Source organism: Homo sapiens, chromosome 18, assembly GCF_000001405.40.
Source record: "Homo sapiens chromosome 18, GRCh38.p14 Primary Assembly".
Lineage (NCBI taxonomy): Eukaryota > Metazoa > Chordata > Mammalia > Primates > Hominidae > Homo > Homo sapiens.
In genome coordinates, this window is record NC_000018.10 from 60,606,558 (window position 1) to 60,625,438 (window position 18,881).

Sequence of the window (18,881 nt, forward strand, 5' to 3'; positions counted from 1 at the left end):
TGAATCATAGATTTGCCACTTATTAGCTGTGTGATCCATGACAAGCTATAAGATCTCCCTGTGCCTTAAGTTTGTCATTTGTAAAATGGACAGAGGAAATGGCAGTAAATCTTACAAGACTATGAGGAGAATTAAATGAGCAAATATGAATCTAGCTTAGAAGAGTGCTTCGTGTATAATAAGTTCTCAGTAAATATATGTTATATATGGGCTTTGGATTAGAAAAAAGAGGGAAGTTATTTAAAGTAGAAGAAAATACACAAAATATCATAAAGGGAAGTAAGAAAAGGTACAGTGTGCAAGAGAGTGGGTGGTCCTACTTTTGAGACACAGACATTCTGTAGATGAGTGGTGGGAGGTAGGGCAAGAAAAGGGTCAACTTAAAGACTATAATATAGTAGATGGGAAATTATTAAAAGTTTTTGGTCAGAATGGTAGCATCATCAAAACTGTTTTTTGTTTGTTTATTTTGCTTTTGTTTTGTCTGTCAGTATTGCCAGAGAAAAGATGATAATATACGGAAAAGATTGTAACAAACACTTTAGAGCTATTATCTCCTTTGATAGCACATATCCATGAGTAGATATTATTACCATGTCCATTGTATTGATGGAGAAACTGAGGTAAAAGAAGACATGATACAGAACGAGACAATAGTAATACCTAATTCATACACCTTCTTTCAGATTTCAACATATGGAGAATTTTTAACACTGTATGAAACACAGAAAGGGGGCAATGAAAGAAATACATAAGAAAAAGAAGAAACACCAACCAAAAAGAAATCTATAGGTTTTATTATTATCAACCCTAAGAGAAAAGTATTACTCTCTTTTATTTTTTTTAGTTCTATCTAATGTAGCATAATGTAAGAAAGCACTTATGTGCTTTGCAGAGAAAATTTTTGAGTGGTCTCAATTTCAATTTATATGTGTGCTAAAAATGTGTAAAATTAGGCTAAAGTAAAAATCCAAAAAAAACTACTTTCCCTTTGAGCCTTGAGAGGGTTAGTTTCATGCTCAGCATGTCTATAAACAAAGGTCTAATTGCCAAGTGCTAGGACATAAAGGGAAATAAGTGGAATAATAGCTAAAGAGACTTTATGGCTCAAAATCCATTTCCTTTGAAGTGGGATTATTTGAGTCATTTTGAAGCTAGGTTGCTGGTGGTTATAATGTTGGGGGGCAAGGAACAGGTAAGGATGAGAATAGAGGGGAGAAGGAGGAAACCTTGCAGGATAGAATCCTATCAGTGCCTAGGAGAGTGGAGGGTTAACTCACAGGTAGTACATACACTAGAATAACATGGGTGGGTTTAGTAACAGAGATGAGTAGATGTCCAGGAGTCATGAGGCTGAGCTCCTCTTTTCTGAATGAAGATAATGGGATAATCCTTCAAAAGAGACATGGTGACACTATTAGAGCAAAGAAGTAGGTCATTGAAGAAAAGAGAACATAGTTGTGGACATGGAGCTTTTATTCCGTGTTTTCCTAGTTCTATCCATTTCCACAGTCATGGATCAACTCCACAGAAAGCAGGAAGAAAGCAAAGGAGGAAGTGGTTTTTGAAATCATCAAATACAGTGGGGTTTTTTGGGTTTGTTTTCTGTTAGAGGCTCTAGTGAACTCCTTAATAAAAAAGAAAAAAAAGTTGTAACAACTGGCCCAAATCATGTTTGAAAGTTGTCAACAGACTTTTACAATTTACAATGTTTTTCTATCATTATTAGAGTGAATTAAGAGTTACTTAATCTGCTTATAAATTGTACCTAAATGCCTAGGGTAGAGACTAACATATTTTCAGAAGTTTTTATTATGTGAATTATCAATATTTTCATGTTCCTTTAGGAACATATGTAAAACTTATTTAATAAATACAAATAATGTTGACCTGCACATTACTCAACAGAGATAAGCTGATACTTGATAAATTCTTGAAAAAATAGACACCTGGTAATGGGGCTCAAAGGGATAATCATTATGGATTATTTTAAATATTAGAGTTTTAATACAAAAGTAAAAAGTAATTCTTGTGTTACAAGGATTTGGCTCATGCTATTAATAGTCCCATGCATTTTTTTAAATTTCTACTCTAGAATGTTACATAACTAACACAATCTTGCAGATAAAAGTTGTAATTGTCTAAAGGAAGTTGAAGCCCATTCCTTTTTTTTTTAACATTATATTTTTAAAAAGCACTAAAGCAAGTAATGTTTAAATACAAATACATTACAACCATTGGTCAATTCTCTAATGAAATAAAAGCATTGAATCCTCACCCATTTTACAAATAATAGAATTATTCCTGTGACCTCAAGGAAAAGACTTTAAAAGAGTCTGTATTACAAATTACAGCAGTAAAAAATCTTCAATGGTTGAGTTATTTTTCATTGCAAGAAAACATTCTCTGGCTCCAGATATTTTCTTAAAGCAGACAGCAATTTTCTCACTGCACATAGATTTCAAGAAATGTGGATATAGCCTGGCAAGTAAGTTGAAATTTTGTAAGAAGACATGGAAATTACTAGTAGGTGAGAGAGTACACTTTTATAAAAACTTTGAGTAATATTTGCAACTTGTTAAAAACTGAAGACTGTAAAATGACAGTCTTTCTAATTTTATATAATTATTATTAAAATATTTTGACAGAAGTATATTAACAATCTTCATATTACTTGTGCACTTAACTATTTTGTTATTAAATATAAAGTTTAACATAGTTTTATATTGTAAATTCAATATGTAGTGGGGCTATTAGTGGAGTGTAATTCTTACGCCAATATACAAAATTTGTTGGCTTCTACATAATTTATATACAAACTTTCTGCAATATTGCTTCATGTAAAGGGTTTTTAAAAAAATTTCACTTGTGAATTTGTTTCCATTGACTATTTAAAAGAAGTGACACTCTTAGTCACTTCAGAATTTATTTTATTGTTTATAGCAGGGAAATGTAAAACTACCCGTATCTTCTAGAAAAAAAATACGTAGAATTAACCTAATATATGTCAATAGGGTCAATGTGTAATATGAAAATTTATTTTTAAATATATTTCATGATGCATAAATCATCTCGTTACTGTAATCTGTACAATTTATGCACAATTTCTTAATATACTGGATTTGTATTCTTTATTAAAATACTATAATAAAAAATTTCATTTAGAATGAATAAACATTTCAAGGTGCTTAAACATTGTATCAGTTTCAAAAATTAAACCAAGTTAATCTTGCTATAGTCTTAACAAATGCAATATTTGGAAAGGAAAATAGTTCATTTTATTTAAGAAAAATCTCATTAAACCTGGAAACAATACTACAAGCTTATGATAATCAAAAGTACAAAATGTAGTCATACATCATTTTCTAGCTACCTTATATTTTCTACATATAGCTATGGGTAATTACTTTGATTTCAGGAACCATAGTTTGTACTTCCTTTCCCCTACTACATTTCCCAGAAAACTAAAAGACACTTAAGAATGACGTGTTTGAGTGGAGGTTTGGCTCAATATTTTTATTAAAGAGAATTTTAGAACTTAATATTTTAAACTATTAATTTGCAGTGGCCCTTGGATTTAATCTGATCTACCTATAAATCCAAAATCTACCATTTATTGCTATTCCTGTTAACAATAGTAGTGCCTACATCCTAACTAACTGTATGTTATGAGGATTGAATAATACATATGAAATGGTTAGAAACGTGCCTGAGCCATAGTAAGTGCTCAAAAAGTTGTTCCTATTATCTAACTTCTTCATCTATTTTGTTATTTGCATAAAAAATCCTTTAAAGGTTATTGTGAGGATCAAAATGTGTGCAAGGCACTTGGGGCCCACTTAAGATACAGTAGATATTGTCATAAGCAGCTAAGTGTTAATATAATAATCTCATTCTGTAGTAGGCATTGTAATTTATGGATAACATTTTTTCATTATTATATTCCTAATCATATGCTCTAAACTGATACAAAACTAACAATAAATGTATCATTTGTTCTTTGTATTATTTTCATAAAATTGAATTTTCTCTCCAGTTCATATCTATCTTCCAGAGATTACATGAGAAAGGAAATAGGAGTCGCAATTATTATGGATTTGTTAGAAACATCTATTTGATAACAGATAAGGGAGGAAATACATATTATCAACACATTTTAGTAAGCCCAAAATATTAACTTTTTAACTTAGATAAGAACCAGATGGGAAAAATGTCTATCTGTACTTTTCAATCAACTGAGAAAGACGAGAAAAAAGAAGCTCACACTGGGAATGTAATGACTAATTTATCAAATGCTTATGCTTCAGGTACAAATGTCATTAACAAATGTATCCCTTTGTTATTTTTCATACATAAATCTCATGTGCTTTACATGTTTATCAAAGCAATTACAATGTTCTTTTTTTTAATTTTATTATTATACTTTAAGTTTTAGAGTACATGTGCACAACGTGCAGGTTTGTTCCATATGTATACATGTGCCATGCTGGTGTGCTGCACCCATAAACTCGTCATTTAGCTTTGGGTATATCTCCTAATGCTATCCCTTCCCCCCCGCCAACCCCACAACAGTCCCCGGTGTGTGATGTTCCCCTTCCTGTGTCCATGTGTTCTCATTGTTCAATTCCCACCTATGAGTGAGAACATGCGGTGTTTGGTTTTTTGTCCTTGCGATAGTTTGCTGAGAATGATGGTTTCCAGCTTCATCCATGTCCCTACAAAGGACATGAACTCATCATTTTTTATGGCCGCATAGTATTCCATGGTGTATATGTGCCACATTTTCTTAATCCAGTCTATCATTGTTGGACATTTGGGTTGGTTCCAGGTCTTTGCTATTGTGAATAGTGCCACAATAAACATACGTGTGCATGTGTCTTTATAGCAATGTTCTTTAAGATCTGACCATTTAATTTACTTTTAGAAGTAGAATGACCAGATCATTTTGTGGCAGTACAATCAAATAAAATACATCTCTAGGAGGTCTTGAAGGGACACCTGCTCCAATGGCATTAATTTTAAATGGTTAATTTTTGGTGAAAAATAAAGGTTGTCCAATGGGACATTGAATGAAGATGGTTGATAAGATTTGGGAAAATGCTACTTGACTTGCTATTTGACATGGCACTTTAATATCTTTAGTTGACAATGATGACAATTCTATCTATCTCTTGGAAATTTTCTTTGCCATTTAGCTACTGACTTTGTAGTTTATCTCTTTTCTCTAGATTTGTTGCTATGCAAAGATGACAAAGACTTAACAAAATATTTTCTGCTGCAAGTGGTAGATATTCTTCTACAGTATGCAAAAACACCTTTGATGGTAAGAGTGAAATATTGGACTTCCATCATCCTCATCAACTACTTGAAGGTTTGGTTGGGTTTACCTTAGAACTGCCTGACCACCCTGAATCTCTGGAACAGTTACTTGCTGATTGCACAGATACCTTAAAATACAGTGTTAAAACAGGTGATTTTTCAGATTGATGTTTTTGAACTGTAAATTGGATGAATAGCTTTGAGTTTACATTTGTATTGAAAAATGATCATAGTTTTATTTATTCTTATTTAAAATATTTAGCTTTGTTTTTTTCAAATTGGATTATCATCTAAAAATTGTTTTCAGTTTAACAAAATTATTTTAAAATTAAAATTCTAAAAATAAAAGAAAGTAAATAAAATGGTTTTGATTCAGGAAATTACATTTTAATGGCAAGTAAATGTATAATTTTTATCAGTTTTCATTTATTTTTATAATATTCAATATTGATGCCAAATTAATTATCCTTTGTACCAGTAAAATACATAGCATCAAAATTACCACATATACATATCTTATATTTCTGAAATTGTGTTTTTTGATTAAATTAGCTTTACTGTAACTAGATTCTTTTTTTTTGTTTTTTCTTGAGATTGAGTTTCCCTCTTGTTGCCCAGGCTGGAGTGCAATGACGCGATCTTGGCTCACTGCAACCTCCACCTCCCAGGTTCAAGCGATTCTCCTGCTTCAGCCTCCCAAGTAGCTGGGATTACAGGCACCCACCACCATGCCAGGCTAATGTTTTGTATTTTTAGTAGATACACAGTTTCACCGTGTCGGCCAGGCTAGTCTCCAACTCCTGACCTCAGGTGATCCACCCTCCTCGGCCTCCCAAAGTGCTGGGATTACAAGTGTGAGTCACCACACCAGGTTACTGTAACTAGGTTCTTAGCCATTTAAAGTGATCATACTTTCAGGGGCAAGTGATGTTTGAATAGGGTCTATGGAACCCTTTTTCTAAAATCTTAAACCTACTAAATAGTGTGTTGGAATGAACATAGTCTTTGAAAAAAAGGACCAACAAAGTGGCTCTAAATACATTATCTCTACTTGGGCTTATTAATTTTTTATTACATTATCTTGAAAAATATTTATGTATAATTTTAATAATTAGAAATCGCTTGTGAATGGATACTTTACGTTTGATAAATATCAAATATACGGACATTGTTATGACATATTTCTTACACCCCAGCACTTTAAATATCACTAATATTTTATTTTCAGACCAAACTGATCTGCCATGCTAATGCACAAAGATGATTTACATTTGAGAATGCTCATTGCTGCCTGTATTTTAATAACAGAAAACAAAGGATGCTTGTCTTTAAATTTATCTTAAATAAACAGAGAATATCCTTTGAAACAAATACTATGCAATATTACCGTTTAAAGTTTTAGAGAAGTCATGGGGAATTTCTCATAGGATATTGATCATTATAAAAAGGTATGCCACAAAATAATATATTCAGTATCTCAGTTATATTTAATTATATTGTTAATTCCATGTGTGTATGCATACACAATATGTAGGTGTCTCTACCTACCTATTTATAATAAACACATTTGTAAACTATCTGTATCATTTTAGGATATCTTTGTAAATATCATTTGTAGAATGTATTTATTATAAATAGGTAGTTGAATAGATAAGTAGGCAGGTTGTCTCCTATATATGCATAAAAATCACTATTCTCTATGTATAGTTTGTATTTTATGTATTTCTAAAACATGTATATTTATAACTAGAAAACCATTTTTAAACAAAATAAAAAGAAAGCTTTTATAAGATTAGAAAAAAAAACCCTGTTGTAGACTCAAATTTAACTGTATAAAGTAAATGTGAAATTAAAATAAATTTATCTTAGAAATAAAAATAGCAAATGGTATTTCTGAAAAATAGTGGGGCAATTGGGAAGCATTTCTGACTTACATAAATTAAATTCCTTTTTTTTCCTTTAGCGTTGCAAATGTAGGGTAAATCTGTAGACCCACCCTCCACTTTTCCATTTCCATTTCTGTACATCTGAAGTGCAGAGAGAAAAAATAAAGATGCTAAGAAAATGATAAGTAAATAACAGAAAGGAACACTTTGCTAACACAGCTCACAACTTCCAGACATTGCATTTCATCCAACTTAGTAAGTACGTATTGAGTTCCTGTTTGTTAAGAACCCACACAGGTGCTCTAGGAGAGGACACTGTTGAAATACGGATAATGTAACATACTAGAGGAAAAAAGAGAGGGACTCACAAAGAGCTGTGACACAAATCATCTGTAAAATATGTCATGAAAGAAGTGCAAAAGATAATCTATTTAGGGGATAAGAAGGGGAAGATTAATTTTTATTTACTTATTTATTTGAGACAGGGTCTTGCTTTGTTACCCAGGCTGGAGTGCAGTAGGGTGATCACGGCTCACTGCAGCTTTGACCTCCCACACTCAAGCGATCCTCCCACCTCAGCCTCCCAAGTAGCTGGGAGCATAGGCACACATCACCCACCCGGCTAATTTTTGTATGATTTGTAGAGACAGGAGTCTCACTATGTTGCACAGGCTGGTCTCAAACTCCTGAGATCAAGAGATCTGCCCCCCTCGGCCCCCTGCCCTGTGGAAAAACTGAGGTTTGTTTTAATTGTTTAGTTATCACTGAGATTTTAATGATGCATAGCCCATGATAGTAATTAGTATTTTGTAGACATGAAATGCAAATAAAAATAGCCTATTTAGCTTACTGTTATTTTTAATTTTTATTTTTGCTTAATAATGGCTCTTTAGTTAAACCTGGATAGGGCAATACTGTATTTCCAGACAATATGATTTGTTTTGTATGTTGTATAAATTATTATACAAAATAAATTTATAAATTATATTCCAAAGTGCTGGGATTGTAGGCATAAGCCAGGATCCCAGGGAAGATTACTTTAAACTAAGTTGGATATTGTGGGAGTCCATTTGTCTTGCTATAAAGGAATACCTACATCTAATAATTACTTATAAAGAAAAGAGTTTTATTTGGCTCACATTTCTGCAGGCTGTACAAGAAACACGCCAGCCTCTGCTTCCAGTGAGGGCTTCAGGGAGCTTTTACTCATGGCAGAAGGCCAAGGGAAGCCAGTGTGCCACATAGTGAGAGAATGAGCAAGAGAATGAGGAGGGCAGGTGCAAACCTTTTTAAAAGTCAGATCTCCCAGTAACTAATAGAACCAGAACTCATTCATTACAGCAGAGATGTCACCAAGCCATTCATGAGGCATTTGCCCCTATGACCCAAACAGCTCCCATTAGACCCCATCTCCAGCATTGGGGATCACATTTCAACACGAAATCTGGAGGGCACAAATACCCAAACTATATCAAGTATAGAGTGTTCAATTTGACAACTAATAAAGATTACTTACTAATATAAATCTTCAAAAATCATTGTAAAAGAATCTAATATTATGCCCCCCAAAACATATAAACAGCTTTTCAGTGAAAATTATTTAATGTTTTAGATGGCTTCTTCCCACTTTGCCTAACTGGTCCATTGAAGTAGTTGTACACACCCCCATCCTTGACCTTCCTTCCTTAGATGCAGGAACTTTCTCACCCTTGAGCATATTGAGATCTGTTTCAGCTTGCTCCTTTTCCAAATCTTTTTGTCTGGCAATGCTTAAATTTAGATCTTACCTTAAAAATCACTTCCTCCAAGAAGACTTCTCTGGAGATTTCCTCGGCCCACTCCCCTGGCTACTTTCACTCCCCTAAGAATGGACTTACCACACCCACTGTTTTCCTATGTAGCACTTTTTACAATTGTAATCAAACACATTTGTGTCATTATCTGTTTAATGTCTTTCTTTGCGACCAGCCTGTAAAATCCACATGATAGCAACTATGCCCATCTGGTTTACCACCATATCGTCAATACTTAGGAATGTCTCTGTATAGGATAGTGCCTCAATAATGTTTACTGAATAACATAATTTAAATGTGCTCAATACATGAGTACTTGGTAGGTGAAAAACTATTATCAAATTTCAGTATTTTTTAACTCTAGTTTTTATTTTGGCCTATTGCAATTTTGTTTTTGTCTCCAGGACATCCTCGCTATTTTAACCAGCTGTCCAGTGGGTTAGATATGACTGGACTTGCAGGGGAATGGTTGACAGCCACTGCAAATACCAACCTGTGAGTATCCCTCTATACCTAAGAAATGTGAGATTATTAGACACACGTAAGCAAGAGTGAAGATTTAGGTAGTGGAAGTTCCATTTTGCTGGATATGAGGCTTGCTGTGTCAAAAACAAAATAGTTGAGACTTGGGAGAAATGCAAAGAAGCTGCTATGTGTTTCCTGTGTGACATGTGTGAAGTTTACCTGGTTGTCGAAATTCTCCGGCAATGTTCAGGGCCTGAATTTGCTTGATTAGCCTCAGATGTTAGGGTGTGGACTGGGAGTCAAGTTCTAGGAGTGGAATCATTTCAACACTATTCAAAACAGCCCACAGTACATAGTTTAAAATACACACACATAGAGGCCAGGCACGGTGCCTCACACCTGTAATCCTAGCACTTTGAGAGGCCAAGGGCGGTGGATCATTTGAGGTCAGGAGTTCGAGACCAGCCTGGCCAACATGGTGAAACCCCGTCTCTATTAAAAACACAAAAATTAGCTGGGTATGGTGGTGTACCCCTATAATTCCAGCTACTCTGGAGGCTGAGGCACAAGAATCGCTTGAACCTGGGAGACGGAGGTTGCAGTGACCCGAGATTGCACCACTGCACTCCAGCTTGGGAGACAGAGGGAGGCTCCATCTCAAAACCAACCAACCAAACAAACAAACAAAAACAAAAAAAAAAGCACACACACATATATATGAATATAAATTAGAACCTCAGTGGTATTGAGTAATAATATTGTAATATTATTACTCAAAGGAAAGCTTATAGCCTTGAATTCCAGCTTTTGCTTTCTGAAGAAATTTTGCTTTCTGAAGAGCTGACTCTAATTGCACAGTGTGACACAGAGGGAGAGTTCCCATCATGGTCACCTCTGAATCCTTTTCCCTGGGTCCCACATTATTCTTGTCTTGTGCTATCTTCTTGCTTTACAGCTGTTATTATTGAAAACATAATAACTCTAAGTTGTTTTTTGGCGTGTTTCCTCAAAGTACAATCCTTATACAAAGGATATTTATCAATCAATTTCTAGAAAAGGCCTTTTCTACCCATTTAATGTTCTGCAAAACATCGTCTGCAACTCCAGATATATGTCTTTTTAACTTGTCTCTTAAAGAATATATAGGGTTTTTTTTTCTTAATAACTGGGCATTTTCTGATCCTAAACTATGTTGTGTGTTCTGAAGGGATGGGAGTTGCTTTCAAAATTCCTCCAGGTGGGAAAGAAATTTTCAGGTATTGCCCAAAACAATGGAAGTCATGGTGATTTCTTTGTAGAACTAATATACTCAATCTGGAATAAGCAATTTAGAATATATAAAAGGTAACCATTTCTTGCATAGTCTAATATAGAATTAAAAAGTATATGATCTTGTTAACACATGACTTTACTTTGTCTCTTCCGTGTAATATAAGTCACAGCTGAATTTATCTATATGTATTATAGGTTTACATATGAAATAGCCCCAGTTTTTACTGTCATGGAGACAATTCTTCTCAAGAAAATGTATGAAATTATTGGCTGGGAAGAAACAAGCAGATGGAATATTTTCACCTGGTAAGAAAAAGCAACTTTCTGTAAGCTAAATAAAATACCTATCGGGAGACACTCAAAATGTGTTCCAACTAACATTGTTATTTTTGACAGACATTCATAAGCCATTGCATTATCATCGCAAATAAAATTTCCAGAAATCTAAAAGTGGGAATTTCATTCTTTGACCTTTCACCAATTTCATGGAAGGATAATTTTAAAATAACAGTGATTTAGCACCTCATTAGTTTCAGAAACTGTCAAATTGTTATTATTTCAATAAACATTTATCAGGATTGAAATTAGCTTAATGGTCATTATTTCCCTTCCATAGGTGGCAGTATATCAAGCCTTTATGGTATTTTAGTAGCTCACTATAAACAATATCCAGAGATAAAAACAAAAGGCATGACTGCACTTCCATGCATTGTATTATTTGTTTCTGAGCAAGTAAGTATCAAGTATAGGTTCTTTTCAACTTTTAAGAATCATGAAAGATAACCTGATAAAATAAAGACTAAGAATATTGGCATTATGCTTATATCAAATATGTTCAGGTAATCTCTGAGTCTGGATCTACATTTTGATATTGAAAAGGAAAAAAACAACTTTCCAGTAAATATAGGCTCTATAGGTAAGCAATACAAATAATTCAGGATTAAAATTTAATTTCAGCATGACAAACAGAAAACAAATGTTTTATATAAATATAAAACATTCTGCTAACTTTACCAAAATAATTATTGTAAAAATTTCAAAGATTTAATAGTTATTTTTCACATTGAATAAAAAGAAAAAGAATGTAATTACTGTTTCATCTTTCCGGTTAGGACCAAAGGAATCAGTTAAAAGAAAACTATATTTTTTATAGACTAGATCCTCAGCCAAACTCTTCTGATACTGACAATATCTCCACTGATATCTCCTTTACGTTTAGTATTCCACTCTCGTGCATAGCATCAAAACTTTTTAAACCTGTAATCCGATTGCTTTCTTCTTATCTATCATGGCAACATGTATGATCTTAAAATGTAGTAGCAGTCCAAGTTTGAGAGTTCTACCTAAAAGTACCTAGAAACGAAGAGTTTTTATTGAAATATTCCTGTTTTTGCAGTGCACTCCCTTTGCCAAACTCAAATTGGCATTACACATCTATATAGTAAGTCCTCACTTAACGTCATAGGTTCTTAGAAACTGTGACTTTAAGAGAAGCAATATACAATAGATTCTTGAATTACATCAGTTGCTTTATTATAATGTCAAAGAGAAAAAAATATTGGTTTCGTTAGACATCTTTTCAGCTAAAGTCAATTTCCAAGAACCTATGGCTACATTAAGTAAGTACTTACTATATATTATCAAGTTGGAAACTACTACTTTATATTCAATGCAATGTATTACAGAATTTTATAGAACTTAACATGCTTGTTTACAAATGCAATTTTCGTTATTTGAAATATAATTTGAAAATATTTATAACGAGTAAATAAGCTGAAATTCCATATGTTGATCTTTAAGAAATCAGTTTTTTATTTAATCTCTGTATTCTTTATTGAAATAGAAATATGGTTAAGGTTTTAATTTCTGTATTTTTTAATCTCATATATCTGGTCTTTTCCTAGCGATTAAAAATAATCCGGGCCAAGTTTATCTTTAGAGCTGCTATCACCTCTGTCTTGCTGGACAAAGTAAACTAGCAGGCAAGAGATCAAAGTGGGTGTCAAAGTCTGAATTAAGAATTACAGGCACTGTAATATTCAGTACATTCATAAGACCTCATGCCTTAAAAAAAAAAAAAAATCTCAAATGGGCTGGGCATGGTGGCTCACACCTGTAATCCTCGCATTTTGGAAGGCCGAAGCTGGTGGATTGCCTGAGCTCAGGAGTTCCAAACCAGCCTGAGCAACACGGTGAAACCCCATTCCTACTAAAACACAAAAAATTAGCCGGTCGTGTCATCGTGTGCTTGTAGTCCCAGCTACTCCGGAGGCTGAGGCAGGAGAATTGCTTGAACCCGGGAGGCAGAGGTTGCAGTGACCCTAGATCATGCCACTGCACTCCACCCTAGGCAACAGACCGAGAATCTGTCTTTAAAAAAAAAAAAAAAAAAAAAAAAATCTGAAATACAGGAGCTAGAGCTGTCCAGAGCAGAAAAAGATTTTCCTGGAGGAAACTGTCACTAACTTTATAAATGATGTGGCTTCATGTGTATGCAGGGAACTAAAATATTCAAGCTCCCACCCAAGCTTGTAAAGAGTTCTATTCTGTGACAGTGCCTTCTGGAAAGAGGTGCTACAACATTCTAGATCCAAACAAATGTCAAGATGGGGGCCTGGAAATATGCCTTGATACCTGTGTGCATATATATCCACAGACCCATTCAAAGCTATGCATATATGCCCCAAGTGCACTTGTGTGTAAATGGGGATTTCATGTAGGAGAAGTAATGTCTTTTCTTTTCTTATTTTTGCCCAAGGGTCATTACTCAATAAAAATAGCTGCAACAATTTTGGGTATTGGAATTGATAATGTAATTGAAGTAAAGTGTGATGAAAGGTATGTTTCTTAATACATTCTCAAAGTTTTATTATTACTCTGCTTCATAGATTGAGATTTCATTTGCCTGTGGTTCCATTTTTTGGCAAGAATCCTCTCCCAGATTCATTTTATTTATATTTTAAAGGTAAGTCATTATGAAAGAAGCACCAAAATTATTTACCCTATTGTTGACATTTATTTACTAACTATGGCCTTATGAAAATTCTATTGCCATATATTTGTTCCCTATTTTATATTTATGAAATACATTAAATTATCAACATAGTGATGTTTGGAAATTAAAAATTCAACCATGTTAGAGTACAAGGTGAAAATATCTTTATATTTTCTTTGGATCCCATTCTTCAGAAATAAGCAATATTATAAACTTTATACATATTCTGGATATAATTTTTATTAATATAAAACTTATTCATACATCAATTCTGTGTTATGTTCTGTAATTTGCTTTATTTCCTTTGGCTTTATGGTATAGCTTCGAAATCTTGTGAATTCACACAGACTTTTTTTTTTAAGTTACATCAGTTTCCAATTTTATAAATGCAGCAAAGTTTTACAAGTCCTATTTAAAAAGACATTTATAAGTTTTCCCTTTGATTTTAGTACTTAAGAGCAGTGCTTAAGTGAATGTAATAAACGTATTTGAGTTTAATAAACACATTTGAGTTGCCTTGAATATCTCTCATATGAATGCCTCTAGGTTCAAATTATGTGTGAATTTATAACTCAATACAAATTTTCCATTTGCCCTTTAAACATTTTTAGTTAATTATATTCTTACTGAAATGTAACATTAAAATATTATCAATATTTTTATACTTAGAAAATCTGACAGAAATGATGTTTATTGTTGTTCAGAACAATAGAAATCTTTTAATATGCTGACCTGCCAATTGTATATTACTGTGAATTGACTGTACATGTCCTTTGCCTATTTTTTAAGTGGTAGTTTATTACTTCTTATTGCCTTATAAGAAACATTTATATATTATGAAATTCTGAAATATATAAATATAAAATATCTTGCAAATATGTTTTATAAGTTTATTATCCAGTAAGCTTTATCACAGGTTGTTTGTCCCTACACGTTTCCTGAGAATTACCACTCTAAAGATATTTTACATCATTTCTACTATTATTAATAGGATTTTTCTACTATTTATTTTCAATAATTGGTATTAAGAAATTAAGCCATAATTTACTTATGTAACTTGCTCAACATTCTCATTTTTATAAACAACTTTAGGTATTCTAGGTATACAAAGATATGTATTCCAATTAGGTTTCTTATTTTATTATCTGTCTCTTTTTTTTCAAAAGAAAATAGAATATTGAAGATAGTGAGCATTATTATCTTGGTACTGACTTTAATTAAAATGTTGCCAATGAGTTACCTCTAAGGCTGCTGGGCAGTTAGTCTCATAGCTGAACGGAGTAGAAAAATATTGGCTTTAATTTATTTCATGGAAACATGCTGTGAAGAAATGTGAGGCCACCTTAATTATGCCACCCACATCCCCCCTCAAATTTGAACGCCTGATATTTTTAATCTTGATATCAAGAGGTCTTAATAACTAAAGTTTTAAGGGCCAGGCGCGGTTGCTCACGCCTGTAATCCCAGCACTTTGGGAGGCCAAGGAGAATGGATCATGAGGTCAGGAGATCGAGACCATCCTGGCTAACATGATGAAACCCTGTCTCTACTAAAAATACCAAAAATTAGCCGGGCGTGGTGGCGGGCGCCTGTAGTCCCAGCTACTCCGAAGGCTGTGACAGGAGAATGGCATGAACCCGGGAGGCGGAGCTTGCAGGGAGCCGAGATCGTGCCACTGCACTCCAGCCTGGGCGACGGGGCGAGACTCTGTCTCTAAATAAATAAATAAACAAATAAATAAAGTTTAATTACTTTAAATAAGAAAATAAGGAAGGAAAAAAAAAAGCATGATCGAAAGAGAGTTTATTATTTTGTATCTTCCTTACAATGATCAGAATCTTCTGATTAGTAAGTGTGCAGATTTTAAGGTGACCGAATAGTAGATGAAGCACTCTCTAACTTAAACGTGGCTTAAATTAATTGAACATTTATTACTTATTCATACACTTATAAATGTCTTTAGGAGACACTAAAAACTAATTGTTTTAAAATCTTGCACAACACTTCTTATTCCAATTGGTAGAATTTGTATGTTTATATACTTATAATAAATCAATGTGTATTTGCATTTTTGAGGGGAAAGATGATTCCAGCTGAGTTAGAGAAAAATATATTACAAGCTAAAAAAAAAGGTATGTTCTACGGTTCTATATTTAACATGTAAATATCTTTATATACTTTACGTATGTTTATTAGTGAAAAATAATTGATAAGAAAATTGCTGAAAAAATAGAATAAACACAAAATGTGGGAAATTTCTTATAAAACTGAAGTGGTGTAATTAAGTAGCATTGCAGTATTTCTAATATTATTGGTTCTGTTACATATGAAAGGCAAATTTATCAGGGTCTTTCCTGTATAATGGAATTTGGCCATTTCTATGTTTGTGGTATTACTTTCTTTAAAATAAGTTTAAACAGAAATAACAATAGATAAAATTGAAAGGGAAAGGTATAAATCCACCTTACAGTTATGTTACTATCTCTAGTGATTATGTACCTCAGAATATTTGAAATCATTAGCTATTCAATATCCCTAATCAAAGTTATCCAGATTTCTGATATCCAGAAGTGTAATGGGTACCAGTGTTGTATATAGTTCCTGTGGACTTCATGAGATTGTAAGAATGATTCCGCTTTTTCATCACCAGGGCCAAACTCCATTCTGTGTCTGTGCCACAGCCGGAAGCACAGTGTACGGAGCCTTCGACCCTCTCCCTGACATCGCTGATATTTGTGAGAAGCACAAACTCTGGATGCATGTGGATGTAAGTCATCTCCTTTAGTCTGGCTTATAATACCTCTTTTTTAAAAAAAAATCCTACAATCCTTAAAGATTCCTAACAGGCATTTCAGGCAAGTCAAAAATTTCTCTGTACCTAGATTTTATAATGAATAAATACAGAAAATACAGATAAAGAATAATCTTATTTACATCTTTTTTTTCTTTTCTTTCTTTTTTTTTTTTTTTTGACAGAGACTCACCCTATCACCCAGACTGGAGTGTAGTGGCACGATCTCAGCTCACTGCAACCTCTGCCTTCCGGTTTAAGCCATTCTCGTGCCTCAGCCTCCTGAGTATCTGGGCTTGCAAGCATGAGCCACCATGCCCGGCCCACACCTGGCTTTTTTTTTTTTTTTTTTTTGTATTTTTAGTAGAGACAGTGTTTTACCGTGTTGGCCAGGCTGGTCTTGAACTCCTGACCTCAAGTGATCTGCCCACCTCAGCCTCCCAAAGAGTTGGGATTATAAGCATGAGTCACCGCACCTGCCTACCTAAGTTTATTTTTAAATAGACTTAATACATCATGAAAAGGGCTAAAAATACACCAAATTATATTTAAAAGCCTAAATCTCTATTAATATTCAACCCCAAATTTAGAATATCAATGTTAAAGTCAAACATGATTTGAAATTGAAATAAGACTTAGCCCATTACTCTAATATACATTTCTTTATTAATATCAAAGAAATAATAACTTTTCGATGCTATTAATTTAGTACAATAACTTTTAAGAAAAATTTCTTTGACTTTGATTAGAGTTGAATAAAATTAAAGTTGTAGCATACAATGGAGATTTTAATTTTTCTGTAGTATAGCCTAATTTGATGCCAACTTTTAAAATCTGTCTTTGGAAATTATACAGAAAGTGCCTTCTTGAATTTATTAGGAACTTAAGACTTCACCGTGTCATGAACAGACAATGAAAATTCATGGTAGGAAATTTTTTTAATGCATTGTTTTTTTTTAAGTAGAATAATTATAGCCAGCTCGATAATTATCTAGCATAATAATTAAATCTTCATCATGTTTTAAAATAAATTTAACATAGGAAAAGTAGTCAGTGTAATTAAAAAATAAGTAATTAGTATAAGACCACATGTTCTTTGTATTTGTTGTAGGCAGCTTGGGGAGGTGGACTGCTGCTATCCAGAAACTATTCCTATAAACTCAGTGGTATTGAAAGGTAAGACCTGGGGCATTGCTTGTGAAAGCAGAAGAACCCATTTAGACTCCTTTTCCAGTGACTGTGAGTGCTAACCAGAGCTGTTTTATCACCTATGGCCAAGTCTGTGACCTGGAATCCACACAAACTAATGGGTGTCCCTCTTCAGTGCTCTGCTATCTTGATCCGGGAAAAAGTAAATGATTTCTGTTTTTAATTACTGACATAATAGATGGTTAACAATGACTAGCCTTATTGTGAATGTTTTATATTAACAAAAATATGACCTCACTGAATGAAACATACTGCAGCACAATTTGCCCTTTGGAGGAGAACAAGTTGATCTTTAAGTAGCAGTCATTTGACAAAATCAAATGAGTATAGTGCATAGGTAGTAAACCAGCTACCCGTGGGTGAAAAGATGTGGTATGAGATGAAAGACAGTGAGAGGATCTATAGAAAACCTGATTATTTATAACCCAGTTATTAAAAACATAATGACCAGCCGGGCGCAGTGGCTCACACCTGTAATCTCTGCATTTTGGGATGCTGAGGCAGGCAGATCACTTGAGCCCAGAAATTCAAGACCAGCCTAGGCAACTTGGTGAAACCCCATCTCCACCCAAAATACAAAAAAATTAGCCTGACATGTTGGTGGGTTTGTGTGGTCCCAGTTAGTTGGGAGGCTGAGGTGGAAGGATGGCTTGAGCCCAGGAGGAGGTTGCAATGAGCTAAGATCGTGCCACTGCACCCCAGCCCAGGTGACAGAGTGAGACCCTGTCTCAAAAAACAAAACAAAACAAAACATAATGGCCATAGATATATGAAAAAAAGTGCAACATCATTAATCATCAGGAAAATGCAAATTAAAACTTCAGTAAGATATAACCTCACAACTGTTAGGATGCCTATTATACAAAAAAAAAAACAAAAAAAAAACAAAGATGAGCACTGGTGACAACATGGAAAAAATGGAACCCTTGTACACTTTTGATGGCAGTGTAAATTAGTGAAAAGAGTATGGGTAAAAAGTATGAAGATTTCTCAAAAAACTAAAAATAGAACTAATATACAATCCTGCAATCTCACTACTGGCTATATATTTAAAGGACAGGAAATGAAATGAGAATGCCTAAGAGATAGCTATACTCCCATGCTAACCGTGGCATTATTCCCAATAGTCACATTATGGAATCAGTCTAAGT